This window comes from Homo sapiens, chromosome 13 (assembly GCF_000001405.40).
Source record: "Homo sapiens chromosome 13, GRCh38.p14 Primary Assembly".
NCBI lineage: Eukaryota > Metazoa > Chordata > Mammalia > Primates > Hominidae > Homo > Homo sapiens.
This window is the reverse complement of record NC_000013.11, coordinates 51,615,081-51,636,892: the sequence shown is the minus strand read 5'-3', so window position 1 is coordinate 51,636,892 and position 21,812 is coordinate 51,615,081. Positions and strand designations below refer to the sequence as shown.

Sequence of the window (21,812 nt, the reverse complement as noted above, 5' to 3'; positions counted from 1 at the left end):
ACATGTGTGTACCCAATTGTTCCAGCACCATTTGTTGAAAAGCCTGTTCTTTCTCCACGGAGTTGCCGTTGCCCTTTGGTCAAAAATAAAGTGACCATATAAACGTGGGTCCCTTTCTGGACTCTATCCTGTTCCACTGACCTATTTGTCTAGGCCAAGTGATCTCACTCACATGTATCTAGATGGATCATGATCCAAAGACAAAGAGCATTCTGTCAGATGACAGAGGACCTGGAATATCCCAGACCTCTTGAACGTTTGCCTTGTTTTCTTTCCCCTGCTGTACTGTATCCTGTCTTTATTAAAGCCTTAGGTAAATATACTTTGTGGAGTCTCATGAGTACTTTCCATACCTGACCCCGGGTAATTGCTGTGGTATTTTGCTTTCCGTCATTAAAAAGACCTTTCTTATCACGAAGCCCAAGGACTGGCTGTTCTCCATCATGCCTCAATGGGTCAAGGTTAATTCCCTCTTTGCCTCTCTGCTAGAACTGGCACTTCCCAGGTTAACTGAGGGCTGATCATAGCCTATAGGCCTGTTTTGATAATAACCAGTTAACCATGACCAAGGTAACTAAGATCATTGTAAAATGAGGAATTTTTTAGTCTGAAGCGTGTTTACAAATCAGAGTGTGTGTGCCAGTGTGTGAACTGCAAATATGCATGTATAAATGTGTGTTACAGAGGTAGCTGAAGCTAACAGACTCATTGACCTGAAAATGAACAAAACTCAGCAAAAACCAAAATCTTTCAAGAAATATCACCAATTACCTAATGGACGATTGTTGGGGTTCCTGATATATGTAAGGGAAGACAAAATTGTGCACCCAGCATGTTGAAAAAAAAGATGATGAAACTTCCGGTGGGCATTCCTTCCATTAAGAGAGTCAAGCCAGGTTAAAGTGTATGTAGGTGCTTCCATATCTGAGAAGGGAATTACACTTTGGTACTGCCCAGATATAGGGACACCAGAAGAGAAATGGGGAATGAGGGTATGGTTACAGTAAAGCTGCCAGTTTTCCTTCCATTAGTTGAAAAAATTAAATAATAGTAGCAGAAGGACTAATAACATATTGAGCATTCATTATTTTCAGACACATTGTGTTTTATTTGCTTTGTATCATTTAATCCTTACAAAAGTACTACGAGTAAGAGAGATCCTGTTTTCACTTCCCCTTTAGAAGTGAGAAACTGTAGTGTGGAGACCCTCACCTGTCTGTAGTTCCCAAGCCATGGGGAAGAAGAACCAGGAGTTCCTCCCGGGAGTTTGACTCGAAAGCCTAAGCCTTACCATGAGACTATTTCTGAAGCTGTCTGAATGCTCAGAGAGAGGAAGAAATCAGACATGGAGGACAAAAGGTGAAATGCAGGAAGTTTGGTGAAAAGTTTTCACTATTTAGAAAACAGAAGACAGGAAGCCGAAAAAAATGGCTTATAGGCATTTAGAGCACCTTGCACAGTGCATTAGCTAGATCTGGATTTGATCACGTCTAATTTATGCCTCAAGGTACAGAGACAAAATACATGCTGTTCTGTGAAATTCTCTCAATTACGCAAAGCTGCTGTTCTTCACAGCCTGGCATGAAAAATGATGATCACGTCATAATTTCTCTCTCAACTCTTGCCATTTAAAAGGTTTAGGACTTCCTGCCGGGGGTGCAGTAGCTCACGCTGTAATCCCAGGACTTTGGGAGGCCGAGATGGGCAGATCACTGAAGGTCGGGAGCTCAAGACCAGCCTCGCCAACATGGTGAAACCCTGTCTCTACTAAAAATACAAAAAAAAAATTAGCCAGGCGTGGTGGCAGGCACCTGTAATCCCAGCTACTCGGGAGGCTGAGGCAGGAGAATTGCTTGAACCTGGGAGGCAGAGGTTGCAGTGAGCCAAGGTGGTGCCACTGCACTCCAGCCTGGGCAACAGAGAGAGACTCCATCTCAAAAAAATAAAACTAAAAAATTAAAAAATAAGTAAATAAATGTTTAGGGCTTCCTTATGGGGGGACTCTGCATTCTTCCCTTCCCTCTACTCCAACTCTGACCTATGGATAAATCCACTTAACCCAACCATGATGCACCCTATTGTTTTGATCAATAAACAAATGTCTTCACAAAAAAGTCCTCCTTGCTCTACTATAGTTCTTTCCTGGTACTGAATATATGGGGAAAAAAAAAACAAAACAAAAAAAACAGCCTTTTCCAATCTTATAGACATGCACCACCACACCTGGCTAATTTTTGCATTTTTTAGTAGAGACGGGGTTTTGCCATGTTGGTCAGGCTGGTCTCAAACTCCTGACCTCAGGTGATCCACCTACCCTGGCCTCCCAAGGTGCTGGGATTACAGGCGTGAGCCATTGCACCTGGCTGCCTTTTCCAATCTTAGTGCTAACAAGTATTATAAATTTACAAAAGCTTAATTGACTCTTACCTGGATTCATGATATATTTTTAAATCTTTGTGTATTAAAAGGCTAAAGTACTACTTTTCCTTAGGTTTGGTAAATATATATTGAGTATTTATCATGAATCAGGTCTAGTACTAGGAATACAAAGAGGGTAAAAATGGGTTCCTGGCCCTCACAGAACTCACAGAGTAAGATTTTCATCCACTACTTCTGAAAAAAAAAAAACACTTCTAGGGCTTTGCAAGACTACACTATCAGTTCTTGGTTGTTAAAGCCCTGTAATAATTCAAATAACTCTCATAAAGCCAAGCTCAGTTTTAATGACCTGAGAATTATTTAATCTTTACAATGGTCCTCTAAATTGGGATTATCCTCATGTCCATTTTGGAGCTGATGAACTGAGGCAAAAAGAAGTTAAGTAATTTAGGTAAGTAATTAATTTAACCTCTTAGAAATTAATCAAAGGAGCCAGAATTCAAACCCAGGCAACCTGTCTCCAAACATCATGCTCTTAACAACGATTCTCTCCTGTCACTGAAGAAAGACTAAAATAGTGTGGCACTGCACCAGATTAAACAGAATGACCAATGGGAAAGAACTGAAAGCTCAGAAACAGACCAAAGTATATATACTAACTAGCATATTAAAAATTTATTAAAAATCATAGGGGGACAAATGAATTACACAATAAAAGGTGCTGCCCTATTTATTTATTTGGTTCTAAAAACTTCAGGTGGTTTAAAGAATTACCTGTGATGGTCTAGAATCAAGATGATGCATGTGACTCCCTCCCCTCATCACTTCTTGCTAAAATGATCCAACTAATTCAGGAGAAAAAAAGTCTCCACCACTGACTGGCTACTTCATAAGTGACCCATCCACAAAAGTGACCCCTTGAGAAGAGCTAACAGGAATAATTTAGCAAACAGCAGAGTGAGCGGAGAGGCCAATTAGCAGCCAGTTCCCAGAACACCCACAACAAAACTGCTGCCATTCATCAATTATTTAGATCCAGATACCCTACTAAGTGCCTTAAGCCGTTAACAAATTTCAATATTATTATACACACGAGTAAACTGGGGCTCAGAAGTTGAACAAGATGACCAATGTTATACAGTTCTCAAGTAGCACAACCAAGATTGGAACACAAAGGCGATCAGACTCAAGTTTAAACTCTTAATCACTCCACTACACATGGGGTGGCCAAGTCCACCAGGATCCCCACTTCAGAGCCTACTGACAGCTCCAGGGTTGGAGCAGAGGCTGGAGGCCAGGCCAGTGCTGGAGCAGCAGCCATGCTGGTTGGAGTTTCTGCCTGGATGCCTAGGCCAGGCAGCTATTCAGGGGGAAGGGAAACTACCCCAGCGGGCCAGAAGCTGCCAAGGCAGACACAAAAGGAACACTGTTCCTGAACAAAGACAAAGTCTGCCCTGCAGTTGTCTCCCACTGCCTACAGCTTCAACCCTGCCCCACACAAACTATTAGAACTCTAAGCTGCAGATAAAAAAAATCACAGTAAATCTAACGTTTTTCCCTATTTTTGCCTGGAATGAAAAGAACTGAATAATGACCTACACAACCTCTGACAAAGCATATTTCAGTTACCAATAATGAACAAATTAGACCTACTTGGCAGATGAGTGAACAGAGAAGCTAGCAAACTAGACAGGGGAAAGACCCAGTATTTTAGGTGAAGTGAAAATGTTTGAATAATTAGGGTAACTGCTAGAAACAAGACAAGTTTGTACATTTAAAAATTTTTAAGATTGCACATTTTAAAATTTTCTCAGTGAGATTTAAACTTTTTTATCTGTATCATTGATTACAAAAGTTATTATGAAGAGAGATGAAAAAGGAGCAATAGGACATAGCAAATGAAAGTAAAAAGCAAAATGGGTAGCCTAAAGAAGAGATGCACTGAAATGCAGACTGGCTCCTGCATAAAACCAAACGGGAACCTGAAAGACCTGCTCCACGAAATCTCCCAGAAAGCACAAGAAAACAAGGAAAAATGGGAAATTATGACTGAAAAATATAGCACCTGAATGGTAGAAGATCAAATCTGTGTCTAATAGGTATTTCAGAAAGAGAAAACAGAAGAAATAATATTTAAGTAAAGAAAAAGTAATAAATAATGGGAAAAAAAACAGAACTCAAAATGAGTTTTTTAGAATATAATTATTCATTCAGAGCTTGGCAAAATTAATCACAAAAGAACCATGCTCATCCTAGGAGAGCTTTGGAATGTCAGAGAGAAAAAGAGTCCAATAGACATCCGCTCCTCCACCAAGATTAAAAAAATAAAAAGGAACATGAATGAGATGAACACTGGGTTTCTCATCTACCATACTAAGTGTTAAAAGACAATGGAGTAAGATTTATAGGACTCTGAAAAGATAAGTCTATGACACACAAATTCTAAATTTAGATGAATTATCAATACTATAATTATCATTACTATAACATAGAAGAAATACATTAATAAACAGGGGAATCAAAAATATACTTTCCACATACCTTATCTGTAGAAATATTCTTAAGGAAGGGAGGATATATAATCAACTGAAAAAATAGAATAAAAAACTCAAGAAAGTAAAAGATAAATAGAAGTATAAGAGAAACAGCAGTGAGCAATAAAGCTAACAAAGCTAGAGAGGTCTAGGCTGGCCACAGTGGCTCACGCCTGTAATCCCAGCACTTTGGGAGGCTGAGATGGGAGGACTGCTTGAGCCCCACAGTTCAAAACCAGCCTGGGCAACATGGCAAGATCCTCGTCTAAATAATGCGTGTCAATGTTGAAATCATAATGCAAATTATGCTTTCAACATTGTAAGTTGAAAGCATGCTTGAAGGAGCATAATGTAAAAAAAATGAACAAATGTTTCTCATTATTTCAACAAAATTTAGACGGTAAGGAGAAGAAAAGAAAATGTGCTGAAGTGATCACATGGCTTAGGAGAACTCCATAGATACTGTTCTAATGATAAACAAGTAAGTTCAAATTTTAATTACCCACAAGAAGAACAAAAATTGGACATATAACTTCCAAGTCACAGAGAATTGTTTTCCTTCTTTTTAAATTTTTTTTTTTTTTTTTTAGAGACAGGATCTTGCTTCATCTCCCAGGCTGCAGTGCGATGACACCATCATGGCTCACTGCTGACTGAAATTCCTGATCTCAAGTGATCCTCCCACCTCAGTCTCTCAAGTAGCTGAGACTACAGGCACAAGCCACCACACCCAGCTGATTTTTACATTTTTTGTAGAGACGGATTTCTCCATCTTGCCCAGGCTGGTCTTGAACTCCTGGGCTCAAGTGATCCTCCCGCCTCGGCCTCCCAAAGTGCTGGGATTACAGGCGTGAGCCACCATGCCCAGCTTGTTTTCTTTCCTTAAAAAACAGAAAAGCTTGCTGGGCATGGTGGCTCACGCCTGTAATCCCAGTACTTTGGGAGGCCGAGATGGGTGGATCACCTGAGGTCAGGAGTTCGAGACTAGCCTGGCCAACATGGTGAAACCCCGTCTGTACTAAAAATACAGAAAATTAGCTGGGCGTGGTGGCACACACCTGTAATCCCAGCTACTTGGGAGGCTGAGGCAGGAGAATCGCTTAAATCCAGGAGGCAGGGGTTGCAGTGACCCGAGATAGCGCCACTGCACTCCAGCCTGGGTGACAAGAGCAAAAAACTCTGTCTCAAAAAAGAGAAACTAAAAAAAAAAAAGAAAAACTTGAAAAAAAAAATTTCAGTGAAAGCTAAACAATCAGCATAATAACTTGAAAACATAACACAAAAAGCCAAGGGTAAGACCAAACATTCAGTAAACGCTAATGGGTTAAATACCCCTATAAAAGAGAAACCCCTCATCAACTGGGTGAAAGAACAAAATACCACCCATCTGACTGGGTTATTAAATGAGGCAATGTGTGCAAAAGTGCCACACGTATAGTTGTTCAAAAAGTATGCATAAAGAAAGAAAGAATGTTGCGGGCACTGTGGTGACCCAAACATAAAAAAAAAAAAAGAAAGAAAGGGAACTCTACCAGTTTAAAACACCAAAAAAATTCACTAAAATAATAATTTTTTAAAGTCTTATGATGAGCTGACAGGAAAATAAAACAAATCATCAGAAAACAAAAACAAAGTATATAGTCTGTGACTCAGAAATTCCACTTACAGAAATCTACTCTACATTCACATGCTATAAAAGTAAGAAATCGTACATGGGAATAAATAAGAAATTTAGGACAGCTTTCTCAGTTTAAGATGATTTGGGCTGCAAATAACAATACCTAACCTCAGTGATTTAAAGAAAACAGGGTCTGACTTAAAACAAAATGACTAGAAGGTAGTTCCAGGTTGATTCAGTAACTCAATGTCTTTAATGGCTAAGGCTCCATATTTCTGCTCTATCACTGTTAATGTGCTGGAGATATTATGTTAAGTGAACATAAGGTTTATAAGACTGTGTATATAAAATGATTTTAACTATACTAAGATCAAAGAAGAAGTAGTTAGGAAACATATTAATGTTTGCTAACATTAGTGGTTGCTCCAAGATTGTGGGATCATGAGTGGTTTCATACCTCCTGCTTCACATACTGTTTTTGTACTTTCAATATTTTTCAGATGTAATACATCTATAAACCAAAAAAAAAAAAAAAGAAAAGAAAGAAAGAAAAGAAAAAAAAATCAAAGAACTAAAGAGAACCGTTACTGAAGAAAACAAAAAGCCTCAATCACCCCTTGGCCACAGTGACATAGCTACTTTCTCCTTGTTTTCCAATTAGAATTATTTCAACTTGATTTGTTTATGAGGTTTTTAAATTCTCCATGACACACACAGTAGTTTTGTATAAAAAGGAAGCTCATGATGTTATTAATGATTATCCTCTATGTAGAGTGCAATGCTTGTACAGAACAGTTCACAGAGTATTTCACACACCTTTATTTCATTTATATTACTGAATACAACCCTTATAAATAAATAGAGAAAACTAAAAAATAGGTAAATAGACCATTTTGTAGTGAGGAACCTCTTCCAAAGTCATATTAAATTGAGAAATTTAAAATCAACCCAAATAACATCCTCTTTTCATATACCATGCTTCATAAACATAATACTAAAACAAACACATGGTTATATCAATTGCCAAAGACTTAAAATTCTTTTAGGTATCTAATTAATACCAGTAACCATCTGCATTCCTAAATCTACTGTAATCTATCTACATGAACGTTTAGAGACCAAAGCAGGCTAGGGAGAAACCCACACTATCCACTTGGTGTGCTTCATGGTCTTCCTCTGTTAGCCTTCCTCACTGGAAGAGAGAGAACAGCTTGAGAGACTTCCCATGTGAGGAGTATCACTTATCCCTTAGTTTCATAGGCATTTTCCAAGACTGTCTTCTCCATAGCTTAAAACTAAAACTCTGGGTCTCAGAATTTCAACTTCAAAGTTGAAGGGGACCTAAGAAATAATCTATTCAAACTCTTCATTTCACACACAAGGAATCTGTCAATGTATAGTTTAAAACCATCAAAATGGATCACAGAAACAGAAAAGTCCCACAGAGCATACAAATATGTCTTCAGAAGAGGTCAAAACCCTGGAAGAATTTAGTCTGCTGCTCAATCTTAAAGTTATGACACTATTTTTTAAATGCTGGTCAATGGGTTTCTAAGGCCCTTTTTAGACACTGCAATTCCACCTGTTAGAAAATTCCATTCAGTTAAACATGACTTGCAGAGTAAAGCAACTAACTGGCATCTGTGATGCATCAAGGGCTCTATTAGCTCATCCTGCCTCTCTTCTTCCGATGGCAGCCGTGGCCATCTGGAGGGACCACTCGGAAGAGGCCGGCTGCAGCAGGGGGGGTGCCGCTAGGGATACTCGCTCTGTGAGGCCAGTGGGAGCAAGGAACAGGCGGAAACCCTGCCCCCTACCGAGTTGGTGGGATGGGAAACCGGTGCTCCTGGGTGTAGCTGCAGCCATCCAGCTGAAGCTCCAGACACGAGCATCCCTGGACTCTCAGGGGCCTGGGAAGCCCTCCTGTCCCCACAGGCTCAAAAAGACCTGCTCCCACGCCCTGGCCTCTCCCACCTCCTGGCGTCCGCTCTGATTTCAGAACAAAGTTGAAGCAAAGCCCAGGCACTGCCGTGACATGGTCGGGTGTGCATGCACATGGGGCAGCACTGCACACCAGCATCCCCCAACACCACCTCGGCCCCCTCTGAAACTTTGGGCACTGAGGAGCTCAGGGAGGGAGCCCAGTGGGGCCTGAGGGGCGGCTCAGCGCAGGACTGCAGGTGCCTCTCAGCACGAACAGCCTGGGTGCCGTGGATGGCATGTTGATGCCAGGACGCAGACAGGTTCCTGGGCAGAAAGGGGTGGGTCCCCAGTGAAACCCCACCTTCAAGACAGGGATGGCCTGAGGTCTGCCAGTTCCAGCTAGAGTCTGGGGCCCAAAACGAGAACTTATGGTGCTTTTTCTGAGCCTGCCCATGGCTGCCCACGAACCAATCAGCATGCACTTCCTCCCCTCTGAAGCCCATAAAAACCCCCTGGACTCAGGCAGACTCCGGCAGATGACTGGACCACCTGCCTGTGGAGAGGAGCTACCCACTGTGGGTCTCCTCTCTGCTGAGAGCTAAGCAGACAATGGGATGACCCACCAATGGAGAGGAGCCACCTACTGCAGGCTCCTCTGAGCTGTTCTGTTGCATAAAGCACCTCTTTGCCTTGCTCACCCTCCACTTGCCTGCATGCCTCATTCTTCCTGGACATGGGATTAGAACTACGGACCCAGCTGGGCATGGTGGCTCACACCTGTAATCCCAGCACTTTGGGAGGCCAAAGCGGGCGGACCACCTGACGTCAGGAGTTCAAGACCAGCCTGGCCAACATGGTGAAACCACATCTCTACTAAAAATACAATAACAACAAAAAAAAAAATTAGCCAGGTGTGGTGGCAGGTGTCCATAATCCCAGCTACTTGGGAGGCTAAGGCAGAAGAATCACTTGAACCCAGGAGGCGGAGATTGCAGTGAGCCAAGATCATGCCACTGCACTCCAGCCTGGGTGACAAGAGCAAGACTCCATTAAAAAAAAGAAAACAAAAGGACTACGGACCCGTCAAATGGAGGTCCTGAAAAAGCTGCAAAACAAACAGGGCTGAAACATGTCCCCCTCCCTGCCCCTTCCCGCTCACCACACTGACAGTGACAAGGAGAGAAGACCTGCAGCCTTTCTGGGATCCCAGAGCAAGGAGCTCCCCAAGCTAGGGCTGTGACACTCTCTTTGGGGCTCTGCAGTTCCTGGTGTCTCCAAGCTTCCAGGTGCCACCATGTTCCCCTCATCTGGACACAGGTGCCTGCAGCAGAAGCTGCATGCAGTATACCTGGTCCAGCCACAGGCTGGCATGGAGCCGGCACCCATGCCAACATCTGAAGCTGCCCGCCCTTCACAGCAGCCAGCATGCCTGGCTGTGTGCAGTGGCCAGATCCCATGCTGGCTGGCTCACACCCCCATTGCCACTCTGCACCTGGCTTGCCCTTGGTAGGTATGGGATCTGGGCTGGCAGCACAAGCCAAGCACAGCCTGCTGGGCTGAATGGGTGGAATGAGCCCAGCAGGCATGAGCATTACTCAGGCAGAAGGCACCACTGGCCACAGAGGTTCCTGGCTGGCAAAGCAACACCCCAAGGATCCCGTGACTTCTACAAGGAATGGAAATTAATCTCTGCCTCTTTTTATTATTGTGGTTGTCTCTAGTAATGTGATATGAAACACTGAAGAGAGGAATTTATAAACACCAAATAGTAAACAAAAGCATGCTAAAATAAAAATTTATATTAGATGTGTTTCATTTTTTTTAGCCCCTGCCACACTAATCACACAACTTGTTAATTATATTTGATATACAAAATTGAACAAACTATAAATACCTGTTAATCATCCATCAAAATTTATGGAGTGAACCTCACTGGTGGAGAAAGAGAAAGGAGCTATTACTGAGCCTTGTGCTATGGAAGGTGCTTCCTGTATTTTGTGTATGTTCCTATATTTTTGTGTATGTTGGTATAATCCTTAGAACACCTCTGGTAAGCAGATATTTTAAAAACTTCTTTTACAGAGAAGGGAATGGAGGCTTAGGAGGTTAAGTTGTTCAGGCCTCACAGAGAGCAGAAAGAGATACTTGAATTTCAACCAGCCCAGTCTCACTCCAAACCCTATCTTCTTTCTATTGTACAAATGCTGCCTCAAGTATTTATAGAAAATGGAAAGAGATCCAGGTCTTATTGTTGAAGAATGTATGTTCTAAAGACAAGCTTGGGCCTCATTCCCTCATTTCCTCATTTATTTAAGAGTTCAGGATTTCAAGTGAAATGTGAAACATTCTTTCCCCTTCTGCATCTGTCCTCCTTCAGATCTGTGCTGTCAGGCCACTGGTGTACCAGCCAGCAGGCCATGCTTGGCTGCCAGGGTGCTCCGGGCCACCCAACTATGACCAGAGGGTGCATGAAAAATTGTTACCTGGGCTTATTTATAAATATATAAACAATGCATGACAACATTAAAACAATCTAACAGGAGGAACTCACTGGAGTGTTAAGTATATGAAATGCTGCATCAGATGAAAAATTCCCTCCATTGATATCAGCTTCCTTTTCGAAGTCCTGGCTGCGCCTCATCCTTGCCCCGTCAGCATTCCGCCCTCAGCCAGTGTTGGCAGTGCTCTGGACTGGTTAAATCTTGGCTGAATTCCATAGGATTTCAGTTGGCCTCAGTAATATTTTTGCTTAGCTTTCAAGTTCAGAGATACTTATTCTATACATGACTGCCACCTTTGTATCGAATTTCTGAAACCCTCTGAATTGAGGAGGATTTTTAATGGACTCTTATTAAGAATGGGTACCGAATTTTAGTGATGGTTGCCTTGGGATGGGAGGAAACAAAGCAAAATATCAATTTGTTTTTTAAAGGATATATTACTTTTAAGATGAACAGATTTACCTTTTCTCTTTTATTACTAGTTAAGGCTAAAGGATAGCTACATTCCTTCCCACCTTAAAACAGAACAAACTAAAACTGATGAACAGGAGCGTTACAGTGCAAACATTTACACACACAAATGCTGGGCACATGCACTCTTAAGTGAGGAGGAAACCATGCAGATACTAGAAATGTCTCTGGCTTAAGTGTTGTCCAATCAGATGTACTTAACCAGAAATACCAAGCCAAGTCTGAATTATGAAATAACTATTAAAGTATATCCAGACCTTACCACCTCTTACCACCCTGGCCACCATCACATCACCTTGGTCACAGCCACTTTTACGTCTCCTACTGCAATGTCCTCCTAACTGGTCCTCCAGCCTCTGGCCTCACCCACCCCACCCTGCACCTAGTTAGCTGTCACACAACAGTCAGTTGATACTACCAAAATGAGTGAAATCCCAATCTTGATCTGCTCAAAACTCTGCAGTGGCTCCCCATTTTACTAGAGCAAAAGACTAAATCTTCACCGTGGCCTACAACACTTTTTGTCTTGTGACATCCCCCTAATCTTGCCTCCTAATACTCTCCTTTCTCTCACTTCCTCCCAGACACACTGGCCTGCTGAAAACCAGGGACGTTCCTGCCTTTGCACTGGCTGTTCCCTCAGCCAAGAAGAGTCATGTCCAAATAGCCCCAGAGCAAACCCCCCAACCTCCTTCAGATCTTTGCTCAGATGTTGCCTCTGTGAGAAGTGCTCTAGCCATTCCTTTTTTAAAAGGAAAAACTTCACCTCCTCCCCAACTCATACCTACATTCTCAGTCCTTTACCCCGATCTGTATTTGTGTCCACAGTGCTTATCACTTTCTAACATAGGCTTATCAATCATGATCATTGCTTATTACGTATTTTCCCCCCAAGAACATAAGCTCCATGGTGGCAGGGATCTTTGTTTGTTTACTAATATTAGCCCATGCCTAGAATAGTGCCTGGTGCAGAGTCAGGGGCTCAACTAACAGTTGTTGAACACATGGTGAATTAAAGTAAAATTAGCAGAGTGAAAGTGGTCTGATAATACAGTCATATCAAGAACTCAACACACAAGACTCTTGCCACTTCCAGCAATGAATGGAACAGGAAAAAGCAAATCAGGGGTGGAAAAAGTGCAGGAGCAATAGCTAGCACCACAGTTCTTGGGGGCAGTTAAATAAACTGATTATTTAACTATAAATAATCAGTTAAGACCTGAGACATAGGGTTAGAATACATTGAATCAAATCTGAACTCCCGCTTTCAGCAAGTTCAGACTCTATCAGAATCCAGCAGTAATCTGTCCAAACTGCCCCAAGAAAAAGTGTATGCCTTGAGTAGCCTCTGATTAAATGAATCAATTTCACCGTATACAGGTTTCTCCCAACCTGGTCCTTTCTCTAATTCGTCATCCTTTATTATCTTAAAATAGGGGTCAATCACTTCCAAGACAGCTCTTTAAAGGAATGCTGAGCAAAACTGGGAACACGGCTAGTTATGTTTCTTTATTCTGCCTCTTTGTTTTAAAAGCTTGGTGTGCAGGGCAGGGATGGTGTGGAGACACAGAAGAAATAACTTCTATAGGTTAAAAAAAGTGCCTATTCCTTTAAAAAAAAAAAAAACTCTGTAAAAACTGCCTGTTGTGGAAGAAAAGAAATGACCACAAAATTAGAAGGACAGGAACCACAGAATAACCAAAATTTCTTATGGGAATGAGAAAAAGTTGGAAACGAGGTAGCTTCCCAATGTTCACAGGATGTGCATTCTGACACGTGGTGCACTGGAGAGATAGATGGTACTGACTGATAGAATGATGAGGTCTGAAAGATTAAACCACAAACATCTGTTGAGAGGCTACTTGTAAAAAACACAACACAAAAAATCAGCAACTATAACCAAGTATAGTCACAACTGGTTATTTAAAAAATGGAGATTTTTTTTTTAATGGAACTCTTACCTTAGGCAGTAATCCAGGACCCTGAATTAACTCACTGAATCCTCACAACTGCTATGAATTAGGTGCTAAACTCATGCCCATTTTATACATGAGGAAAGTAAGGCACACTGTTCTTTCACATCCCTGTCGTTCTCCCCACTCCTCCTCCAGCCTCCTTTTCATCTTTCCAGTCATATTGCTCTTACTTAGCTTGCCCATTCATCTCATTTGCCCAGGACTGTCTGGGTTTATGTCTTTTGGCCTGGCCTGAATATTAATAGCACCTACCTTCATTTTTTTTTTTAGAAAAATTACGCTTTAAAAAAAACAAGTAACATAAATTGTATCATTTTAAAAGTGTACAGTTAAGGCCATGCACGGTGGCTCTTGCCTGTAATCCCAGCACTTTGGGAGGCCAAGGAGGGTAGATCACTTGAAGTCAGGAGTTCAAGACCAGCCTGGCCAACATGGCAAAACCCCGTCTCCACTAAAAATATAAAAATTAGCCAGGCATGGTTGTGCGTGCTTGTAATCCCAACTACTCGGGAGGCTGAGGCAGGAGAATTGCTTGAACCCGGGAGGTGGAGGCTGCAGTGAGCCGAGATCGTACCACCACACTCCAGCCTGGGTGGCAGAGCTAGACTCTATCTCAAAAAAAAAAAAAAAAAAAAAAGTGTAAAGTTAAGCATACCTTCACTTTTAAAGGTATTCCAGTTCAAACTATAATTACATGATCATCCTTATTTTCCCCTACTCTACTGTAACTATTTACTTACCTACCTCCCTGACTGAATTGTGAACTTTTTGAGAACAGTTATGTGTATCCTGTGTTTTTATGCTTTCAACCCAGCATAATGCCAGGCATACTGTTAATAAATGTTTAATAAATGAACAAATGCATGAATGTTATCCTAAACTGCCTCCTGGTTCATTTTCATTTTACAGAGGGAATCTGCCCTCCACCAGGCTCAGAATTTGAAACTTATAAACTGCTTCAGCTGTATCTGAGATGGTTAATGCAATTAGAGAAAGAGCCAATGGTCTAGAAAATGCTGTGAATGTGTGTTGCTGCCCAAGTAAAGAACAGTCATTTACTCACCTGTGGGTCACCACAGGAGACAGTGGCTACAAAGAAATGTATGTGGGCTTATAAATATTTGGACAGATTCACAAGGCTAAAATAAAAAACAATAATAAAAACAAAGAGAAATTAACTAAAGGAGAAGGGACTCAAAAAAAAGGAGGGGGGGAGAGAGAGGAATGTCAACTGCTCCACTTAAACATTCTTTTAAAATTCAAATATCATCTTCAGGAATACAAATATTGCAAAGCTTAGCACGGTTGGCACATGGCCTCCTGCAGCAATCACAGCACAAATGTGCTTCGCATTAATCCTGTGCTTTAGTGAAAAGAGAACTAATAACGACCTCCAATTTCAGTGCAATTTTATAAACCCAAAATATAATGTTGAAGATGAAACTAAACAATCCATCTTTCCCGCCTCCCTTCTCTCTCTCACACACACACTCATCTTTCTACATCAAGCTACATTGAGCAAAAAAAGCTTAAAAAAATTTAAGAAAAAAGGATGGAGCTGTGATTTTTAATTGAATTAAAGACAGAAAGTCCCACTGCAATAATGGGAGAAACAGGGACTGTTTCTCATAATACTTCAGTTCTTTTTTTTCAACCCTCCACCCAAGTTTTAGAGTCATTAGTACCACATGGCTGCTCCAGAACCAGTCTAATCTTAACTGCATTTTTTCTGATGCTGACTGCCATTTAGGCCTGAGGGAACCCAAAAGGACGAATCTGGCCAGTATCACATTGCATTCTTTAAAACTTTCAGAGAGGTGAGGCAGTCGCCACTTTATTATTTGCAACTCTGTTTAGGACATGAAGTCCATAAGAATCTTCAATTCAAAATAGTCTCAACTGCATCAAAGTCTGCTTTCCCAGGTAACTGATACCCCTTTAATTCCTCTAGATTTAATGAAGAGAGTATTTTCTTTGTTTTTTTTGAGACGAAGTTTCACTCTTGTCGCCCAAGCTGCAGTGCAGTGGCGCGATCTTGGCTCACTGCAAACTCCGCCTCCCGGGTTCAAGCGATTCTCCTGCCTCAGCCTCCCAAGTAGCTGGAATTACAGGTGCCCACCACTACGCCCAGCTAATTTTTGTATTTTCAGTAGAGACGGGGTTTCAACATGTTGGCCAGGCTGGTCTCGGACTCTTGATCTCAGGTGATCTGCCCTCCTCGGCCTCCCAAAGTGCTGGGATTACAGGCGTGAGCCACCGCGCCCGGCCAAGAATATTTTCAAAAGCTATTAATATACTTGTTCTGCACATAACCACTTCCAATCTATTAAAAGTATGCGTTTGTGTAGGAAAGGCTTGTACTACAGCAGAAATGCAGGAAGGGGGAAGAGAGAAGAGGACAGAAAGTTTACCTCAGGCTTTATTCAGAGAAAATTTATTCTAAATCCCTTTCACATCAATAAACATATTAAAAACAACAGGACTTGATGGCAGAGTTTTATATATTGTGTGTAAGGGCAGGCAGTACTATTCTGACAGGATGAGGACAGAGGGAAAGCCTGGAACAGAGGAAAACGGGAGATAGGAGGAGAGCCAGAGGCAAGAGAGGAAGTGGATGAGATGAGTGCGTCCGACTTCCCTCTTGGAAGCAGTGCTGACCGGGTGAGAGAAATATTGACATGTAAGGGGTTCTGCCACACTTCCCATTTAGGATTCTGGGGAAAGACTGCCTCACAGGCCACATCACACCATCCCCGGCTCAGCTACATCAAAGAAAACTCAGTGCTACAGCAAAGTCAGAGAGAACAATGGCTAGAGTGTATCCTTCCTCTGTGGCCCTGACTTTTGTTTACACAGACCCAGAAAAATCCTGTCTGGATAGAGGTGGATGGGAGTGAGCAGGTGCAGACGGGCTGGGATGGGTTGAGAGCCCACAGTGGTACGGGAGAGATAATGCCACTACAAAGGTTTCAGGGACCACTAGGGCAAGAGCAGGATGAAGGATAAGACAGAGACCCAGAGGGGAATCATGCCATGAGAGATGAAGTGAAGTGGAGCCCGCCAGAGCACCACCAGGCATGGCCAAGCAAAGACAGGCAAGGACCCGCCACAGTCTTCAACAGAGGACACCAGGGAGGGATGCCGTCCTCAGCCATCTCCAGTCCAGGCAACAGGCCAGAGCAGCTGTTCCATGGCAGAGCCAAAAAGGACCTGAGGTCACTCCATGGGGGTCTATGGATTCCATCCACCCACACAGTCTCCCAACCCACCCACCCCCACCCAGATGCCATCTTAGTGAGGAAATATGAGAAGCATAGCATTTTACGTTTTTTAAAAGGAACATTTATCTAAAAGTTATTAAATTGTTGCATCAGACTAATTTTACTGGGTGGAACCAGATTTGGGCGCTGCCTCCCCTCCTGTATTTCTGTACTGGCAAGGGGCTTATAAGGAGGATCAGCCCAGATTATTAGAAAAGAAGGACTATTAAGTTTGATCTAAAGCTGCCTCCATACATACTTTAAGTTAGGCCTAAAGGTTTCTCCATACATAGGGAACAATAACCTAACCTGATGAACAAGTAGGCGAGTCTCAGCCAACTATAGGCAGCCAACTATGCAAGGCAGGTTCAAATAAGGCAAACGCCCAGCTGTAACCAATCCAGCTGTTTCTGTACCTCACTTCTGTTTCTATCCATCACTTTCCTTTTTCTGTCCATAAATGTTATCTGACCATGTGGCAGCTCTAGAGTCATTCTGAACCTATTCTGGTTCTGGGGACTACCCAATTCATGAATCATTCCTTGCTCATCTAAGCTCTGTTTAATTTGTCTAAAGTTTTTCTTTTAACAGGACTTATTTTCTTTGCCTGCATGCTCCATAAATAACCATTGTTTGTTCTGACCCTTATTTTAATTGCTCACATATGAGATAGAATGAGGAAAATAGTCCCCAGTTGTATCTGAAAGTCCTAGTTTTCATTATCTAAATTTAAATAGGGGATGGAAATATCTTCTGATACCTTCTGGAGGCTTTTTGTTTTTTGTTTTTTTTTTTTTGGAGATAGTGTCTGGCTCTGTTGCCCAGGCTGGAGTATAGTGGTGTGATCACAGCTCACTGCAACCTTGATCTCCTTGCCTCACTGGGACCACAGGCGTGCACCACCATGCCCAGCTAATTTTTTGTTGTTGTTGTATTTTTTGTTACAGACAGGGTCTTACCATGTTGCCCAAGCTGGTCTCAAACTCCTGGGCTCAAGCAGTCTGCCCGCCTCAGCCTCCCAAAGTATTGGGATTACAGGCGTGAGCCACCACATGCAGCCTCGAGTTCTTTATTTGCCTGTTTTTGAAGATGGAGGAAGTAGGTCTTATGAAGAATAATAGAAAAGACATAGATGTGAGAGAAAATCAAAGAAAGACAGTGAGGCACACAATCTGCTTTTCCTACTTGGAGCTCTGCAGCTCACCATTAGAGTAATAGCATTTTCAGAGCAGCAAAGGGGATCACAGATTTGGTTCACTTCCCTAGCCTTAGCAAAGGTGGATGAGCTCCAGCAGTCTTGTGATTGCTGCTTGATGAAAGGTATGTGGTACTGCCCATTCTCTCTTCAACACACCCTCCTCCACTATTCACAATGGCAAAAGGCAGGGAGAAGGACTCTAAGCCTTTATTGTTTTGCATTGGCAGACCTCCCATCTTCTAGAACTGAGATGTTCTGTGTTCAGAGAAATTCCCAGCAACAATCTGTGAGAATATAGGTTAATTAGCCACAGGCCGTGATGCAACATAATAGCAATGAGGGTTTGCAGTGGTGTCATGAGTGACAGGAAGAGGTAGGCTCACCTTATACAAGGTAGGCAAGCTGCATTATACTCTATAAATTAGGAAACCCTTTAACACTCACTAATCATTTTCAAGATTCATTAATTATAAAGTTATCCAGATAAGGGACCAGGTGGTATAACTGATTCTATGTCCACTCATTTGTGCACTTATTCATCCACATACACAGGCATTCATTAACTAATTTTATTAATAACACATTGTGCCACACCACTGTGGATACACAGAACAAGATACAATCCCTGCACTCAACAGGCTCAGAAGCTAGCAGAGAAAGACAAAGCACCAAACTGTCAATTCTCCATTTATTATCAATATCATTGCTACTAGTAGGAGAAATGAGGCCATCTGTGAGCCTAAAGCAAACTTCTAACAAGGTATGTCATAACACGGCACTGGCACATAGTCAGTGCTCAAAAAAATACAAATTCTCTCTCCTGTACTCTCTTAAAGAAGTGTTGATACTAATATGCTTCAGGTAGTGCTGCCAAAATGTAGTGCTAACAACAGGGGGCCTGAAGATAATGACATAAAATTGTATTGAATAAATAGAATGCTTGTCACTTGTACTTAACAGGTATCTCAAATTTGGGCATTAATGTGTACGTCTACATCAAAAAAGGTGTGATGGCTCTCTTAACTAGATGTTAGTATCTATAGTTAGACCAAGGCTGCTGAATAATGATGGCTGAAATTAACAGTAAATAGAAACAAATGGGCAGCTTTATCTTTTGTAAATGAATTTCTTTAAATATGAAAATGACTTAGCTTTTTGCAGTCAATGGCTAAAGAAAAATAAAACCAATAAATCAAACAAGTGTGGAAAATTCAAGGCCTAGAATGTTAGCCCGCATCTCAAATAAAGCAGGCTGTGGACATATGACTTGAAATTTCTTGAGATTTAACTCACCATTTTACTAAAGTCTCAGAAGGAATTTTCCACCTCCTCCTGGATTGCAGATGAAAGGTTTGTTTGTCTTACAGATGTTCCACCCTAAGGAATCTGAAGGCCTGAAAAATCTGCTCATTTATGGGAAAACACAATGAAACTTACAGTCAAGAGTTGAGTCCTTGAGGACAGTTAAGGATGAAAAAACAGAGGATTATGGGGGAAAAGAAGATAAGAGAGGGAGGAATGACTTCATGATGTCCAGATGAGGACAACTTTGTACTGAATGATGAACATCATAATAAGAAAAGAATTCTCGCTTGAACCCAGGAGGCAGAGGTTGCAGTGAGCTGAGATCACGCCACTACACTCCAGCCTGGGCAACAAAGCAAGACTACATCTCAAAAAAAAAAAGAAAAAGAATTCTGTACTTGGACTTCATATATAAAGGATCTAAAAAGATTTCCTTTCTCATAATGGAATGAAACTTCCCACTCAGCCAAACCTAGAAGCAGACCTAAGGAGTTACTGCTGTTAAACACATCTGATGGCTAACAGAAATAGGAATTCTTATTAAATAGATTAAGTTAGAGTTCTGTTAGAGTTAACACTAAGAGTTTTGTATAAGCACACCAAAATTCCACAGAAATTTCCTTTATAAAATTGGAATAAACATGTTTGAGAGGTGGGGGAGATTTTCAAAAAATTTAAGAAAAGTTTTCACAAAATCTCTCCTAAATATATACGAATCATTTTATCTTTCACAGCTTTGTCACAATGACATGAACTCAACAAATATCTTTTGATTTAATAAATAGAAAACCATTTCTTACGTATTTCTTAAGAAATTCTTCTAGCTTGGTGTAAGTGACTGTATCTCTAAAAATAAAAACACTTAGAACTATGTGCCAGGCACTATTCTAAAAGCTTTACATATGGTAACTCATCTCATAGTACCCTGTTGAAGTGTCACCAAATATTCTGATTCTCCTCCTTCTAAGCACACGATAGGATAGCACTTTCCAGCCTCCTTAAATTTAGCCACGACCATGCGACTAACTTTGATGAAGAATAAGTGGAAGAAACGTGTGTCACTTCTGGGTGACAGAAGTCTTTAAAAGCCAGTGCAGGACCTGCCAAATCTTTTCCCCTATCATGGTGAGTGGAAATGCTCAAGTTGGTAGAGCCTCAGTTAGCCTATCACACAGAACTCTCAAGAATCAACGACCATGAGTGAGAAATAAATCTTTGGGTTAAAAGCCTCTGAGATTTAAGAGTTACCTGTTATTGCAATTTAACCTAGCCTATCCTGACTGATGCAGGTGAGTACTAGGTAATTGAAAAAAAGAAGACAGCATTTCTTTTCCAATATTCTAGAATTCAGATTGTTCATTATTCCAGACTTTCTCCCCGCCATATCATTTGCTCCCCAACCTCTCCCAGAAAACAAGTCATAAAAATCGCTATCTGAATTTTGGCATTATGAGAATCATGAATTTATACAGTATCTTATTTATTCACATTGAGACAGGGTCTTATTCTGTTGCCCAGGCTGGAGCGCAGTGATACAATCACAATTCACTGCAGCCTCGACCTCCTGGGTTCAAGCAATCCCCCCACCTCAGTCCGCCCAGTAGCTGGGACTAGGAACATGCACTACTGAGCTCGACTAATGTCTTTATAAAGATGAGGTCTCACTATGTTGATTAGGCTGGTCCCGAACTTCTGGGCTCAAGTGATCCTCCTGCCTGGGCCTCCCAAAGAGCTGGGATTACAGGCAAAAACCACCACATGTGGCCTGTTCTTTTATTTTCGAATATTCTGCTTTTTAAAAAGTCATTACTGGTTAAAAAATAGAAATCCATCCTTGCAAAACACACACACAGAATAATTCACCTAGCAAAAAATTCAAACCCCTAAGTATAAAAAGTAAAAAATAACCAAATCTCTTACCTTGATTCCTTTATATGCATACATAGATTTTTTTTAAAAGAAAGAGACATGGTGTCACAAAAAGAGTATACATATTACTTTGCAAAGTCGTTACTTAACAGCTTTCTAGTTAATAATTGTATTGTATGGTCATAACATAATTTATTTAACCATGTCCCTACTGATGGACATTTCAGCTTATTCCACATTTTTATTTAATTGCAATGCATGATTTATCCCAAGAAGTAAAATTTGTCCCAATAAGTGGGCCTGTTTAAACGGCCTTTGTTAAACAATCAAAGGGTGTGTATATTTCACATCGACAGGTACTGCCAAACTGTTCTTCAAAGTGATGGTATCAACAGTACTATCAAAATATATGAAAAGTGCCTTTTCTCCTTAGATCCTTATTATCTATTTTAAAAAATATTTACCAATCTGGGAATCAAAAAATGATGTTTCAGTGTTTTTTTTTTAATTTGCACTGATTTAATTATTTGTTTCCAACTTTATTTTTTACTATCTGTATGTTGTCTTTGGAGAAATATCTACCTGTCCATATTTTTTATTTTTTAATAGGGTTAGCTTTTTTATATTATTTGAGGCTTTTAATCTATTATGAATACTAAGACTTTTCAACTTGTGTTGCAAATATCCTCTCTAACTCTTCATTTATGAATGCTGGCTTTCAACATATGAATATGGTTAAATTAGTCACAATTTCCCATTATAATTTCTGGGTTTCAAG

At 41.1% G+C, this 21,812-nt stretch overlaps 1 protein-coding gene across 6 annotated transcripts in view, besides 4 other annotated features; it reads right to left on the bottom strand.

Annotated features, from left to right (window-relative positions):
* Window positions 1-21,812, bottom strand: part of WDFY2 (WD repeat and FYVE domain containing 2) — a 183,248-nt gene that overhangs the window by 130,817 nt on the left and 30,619 nt on the right. The window lies entirely within an intron of this gene.
* Window positions 7,979-8,597: an enhancer, noted in NCBI's record as "H3K27ac-H3K4me1 hESC enhancer chr13:52202432-52203050 (GRCh37/hg19 assembly coordinates)". NCBI's record gives its function as "activates a minimal SCP1, AML or CMV promoter by ChIP-STARR-seq in naive H9 embryonic stem cells {active_cell/tissue: H9 hESC(naive)}" and the evidence as "EXISTENCE:reporter gene assay evidence [ECO:0000049][PMID:30033119]".
* Window positions 8,598-9,217: an enhancer, noted in NCBI's record as "H3K27ac-H3K4me1 hESC enhancer chr13:52201812-52202431 (GRCh37/hg19 assembly coordinates)". NCBI's record gives its function as "activates a minimal SCP1, AML or CMV promoter by ChIP-STARR-seq in naive H9 embryonic stem cells {active_cell/tissue: H9 hESC(naive)}" and the evidence as "EXISTENCE:reporter gene assay evidence [ECO:0000049][PMID:30033119]".
* Window positions 9,399-9,905: an enhancer, noted in NCBI's record as "H3K4me1 hESC enhancer chr13:52201124-52201630 (GRCh37/hg19 assembly coordinates)". NCBI's record gives its function as "activates a minimal SCP1, AML or CMV promoter by ChIP-STARR-seq in primed H9 embryonic stem cells {active_cell/tissue: H9 hESC(primed)}" and the evidence as "EXISTENCE:reporter gene assay evidence [ECO:0000049][PMID:30033119]".
* Window positions 9,906-10,413: an enhancer, noted in NCBI's record as "H3K4me1 hESC enhancer chr13:52200616-52201123 (GRCh37/hg19 assembly coordinates)". NCBI's record gives its function as "activates a minimal SCP1, AML or CMV promoter by ChIP-STARR-seq in primed H9 embryonic stem cells {active_cell/tissue: H9 hESC(primed)}" and the evidence as "EXISTENCE:reporter gene assay evidence [ECO:0000049][PMID:30033119]".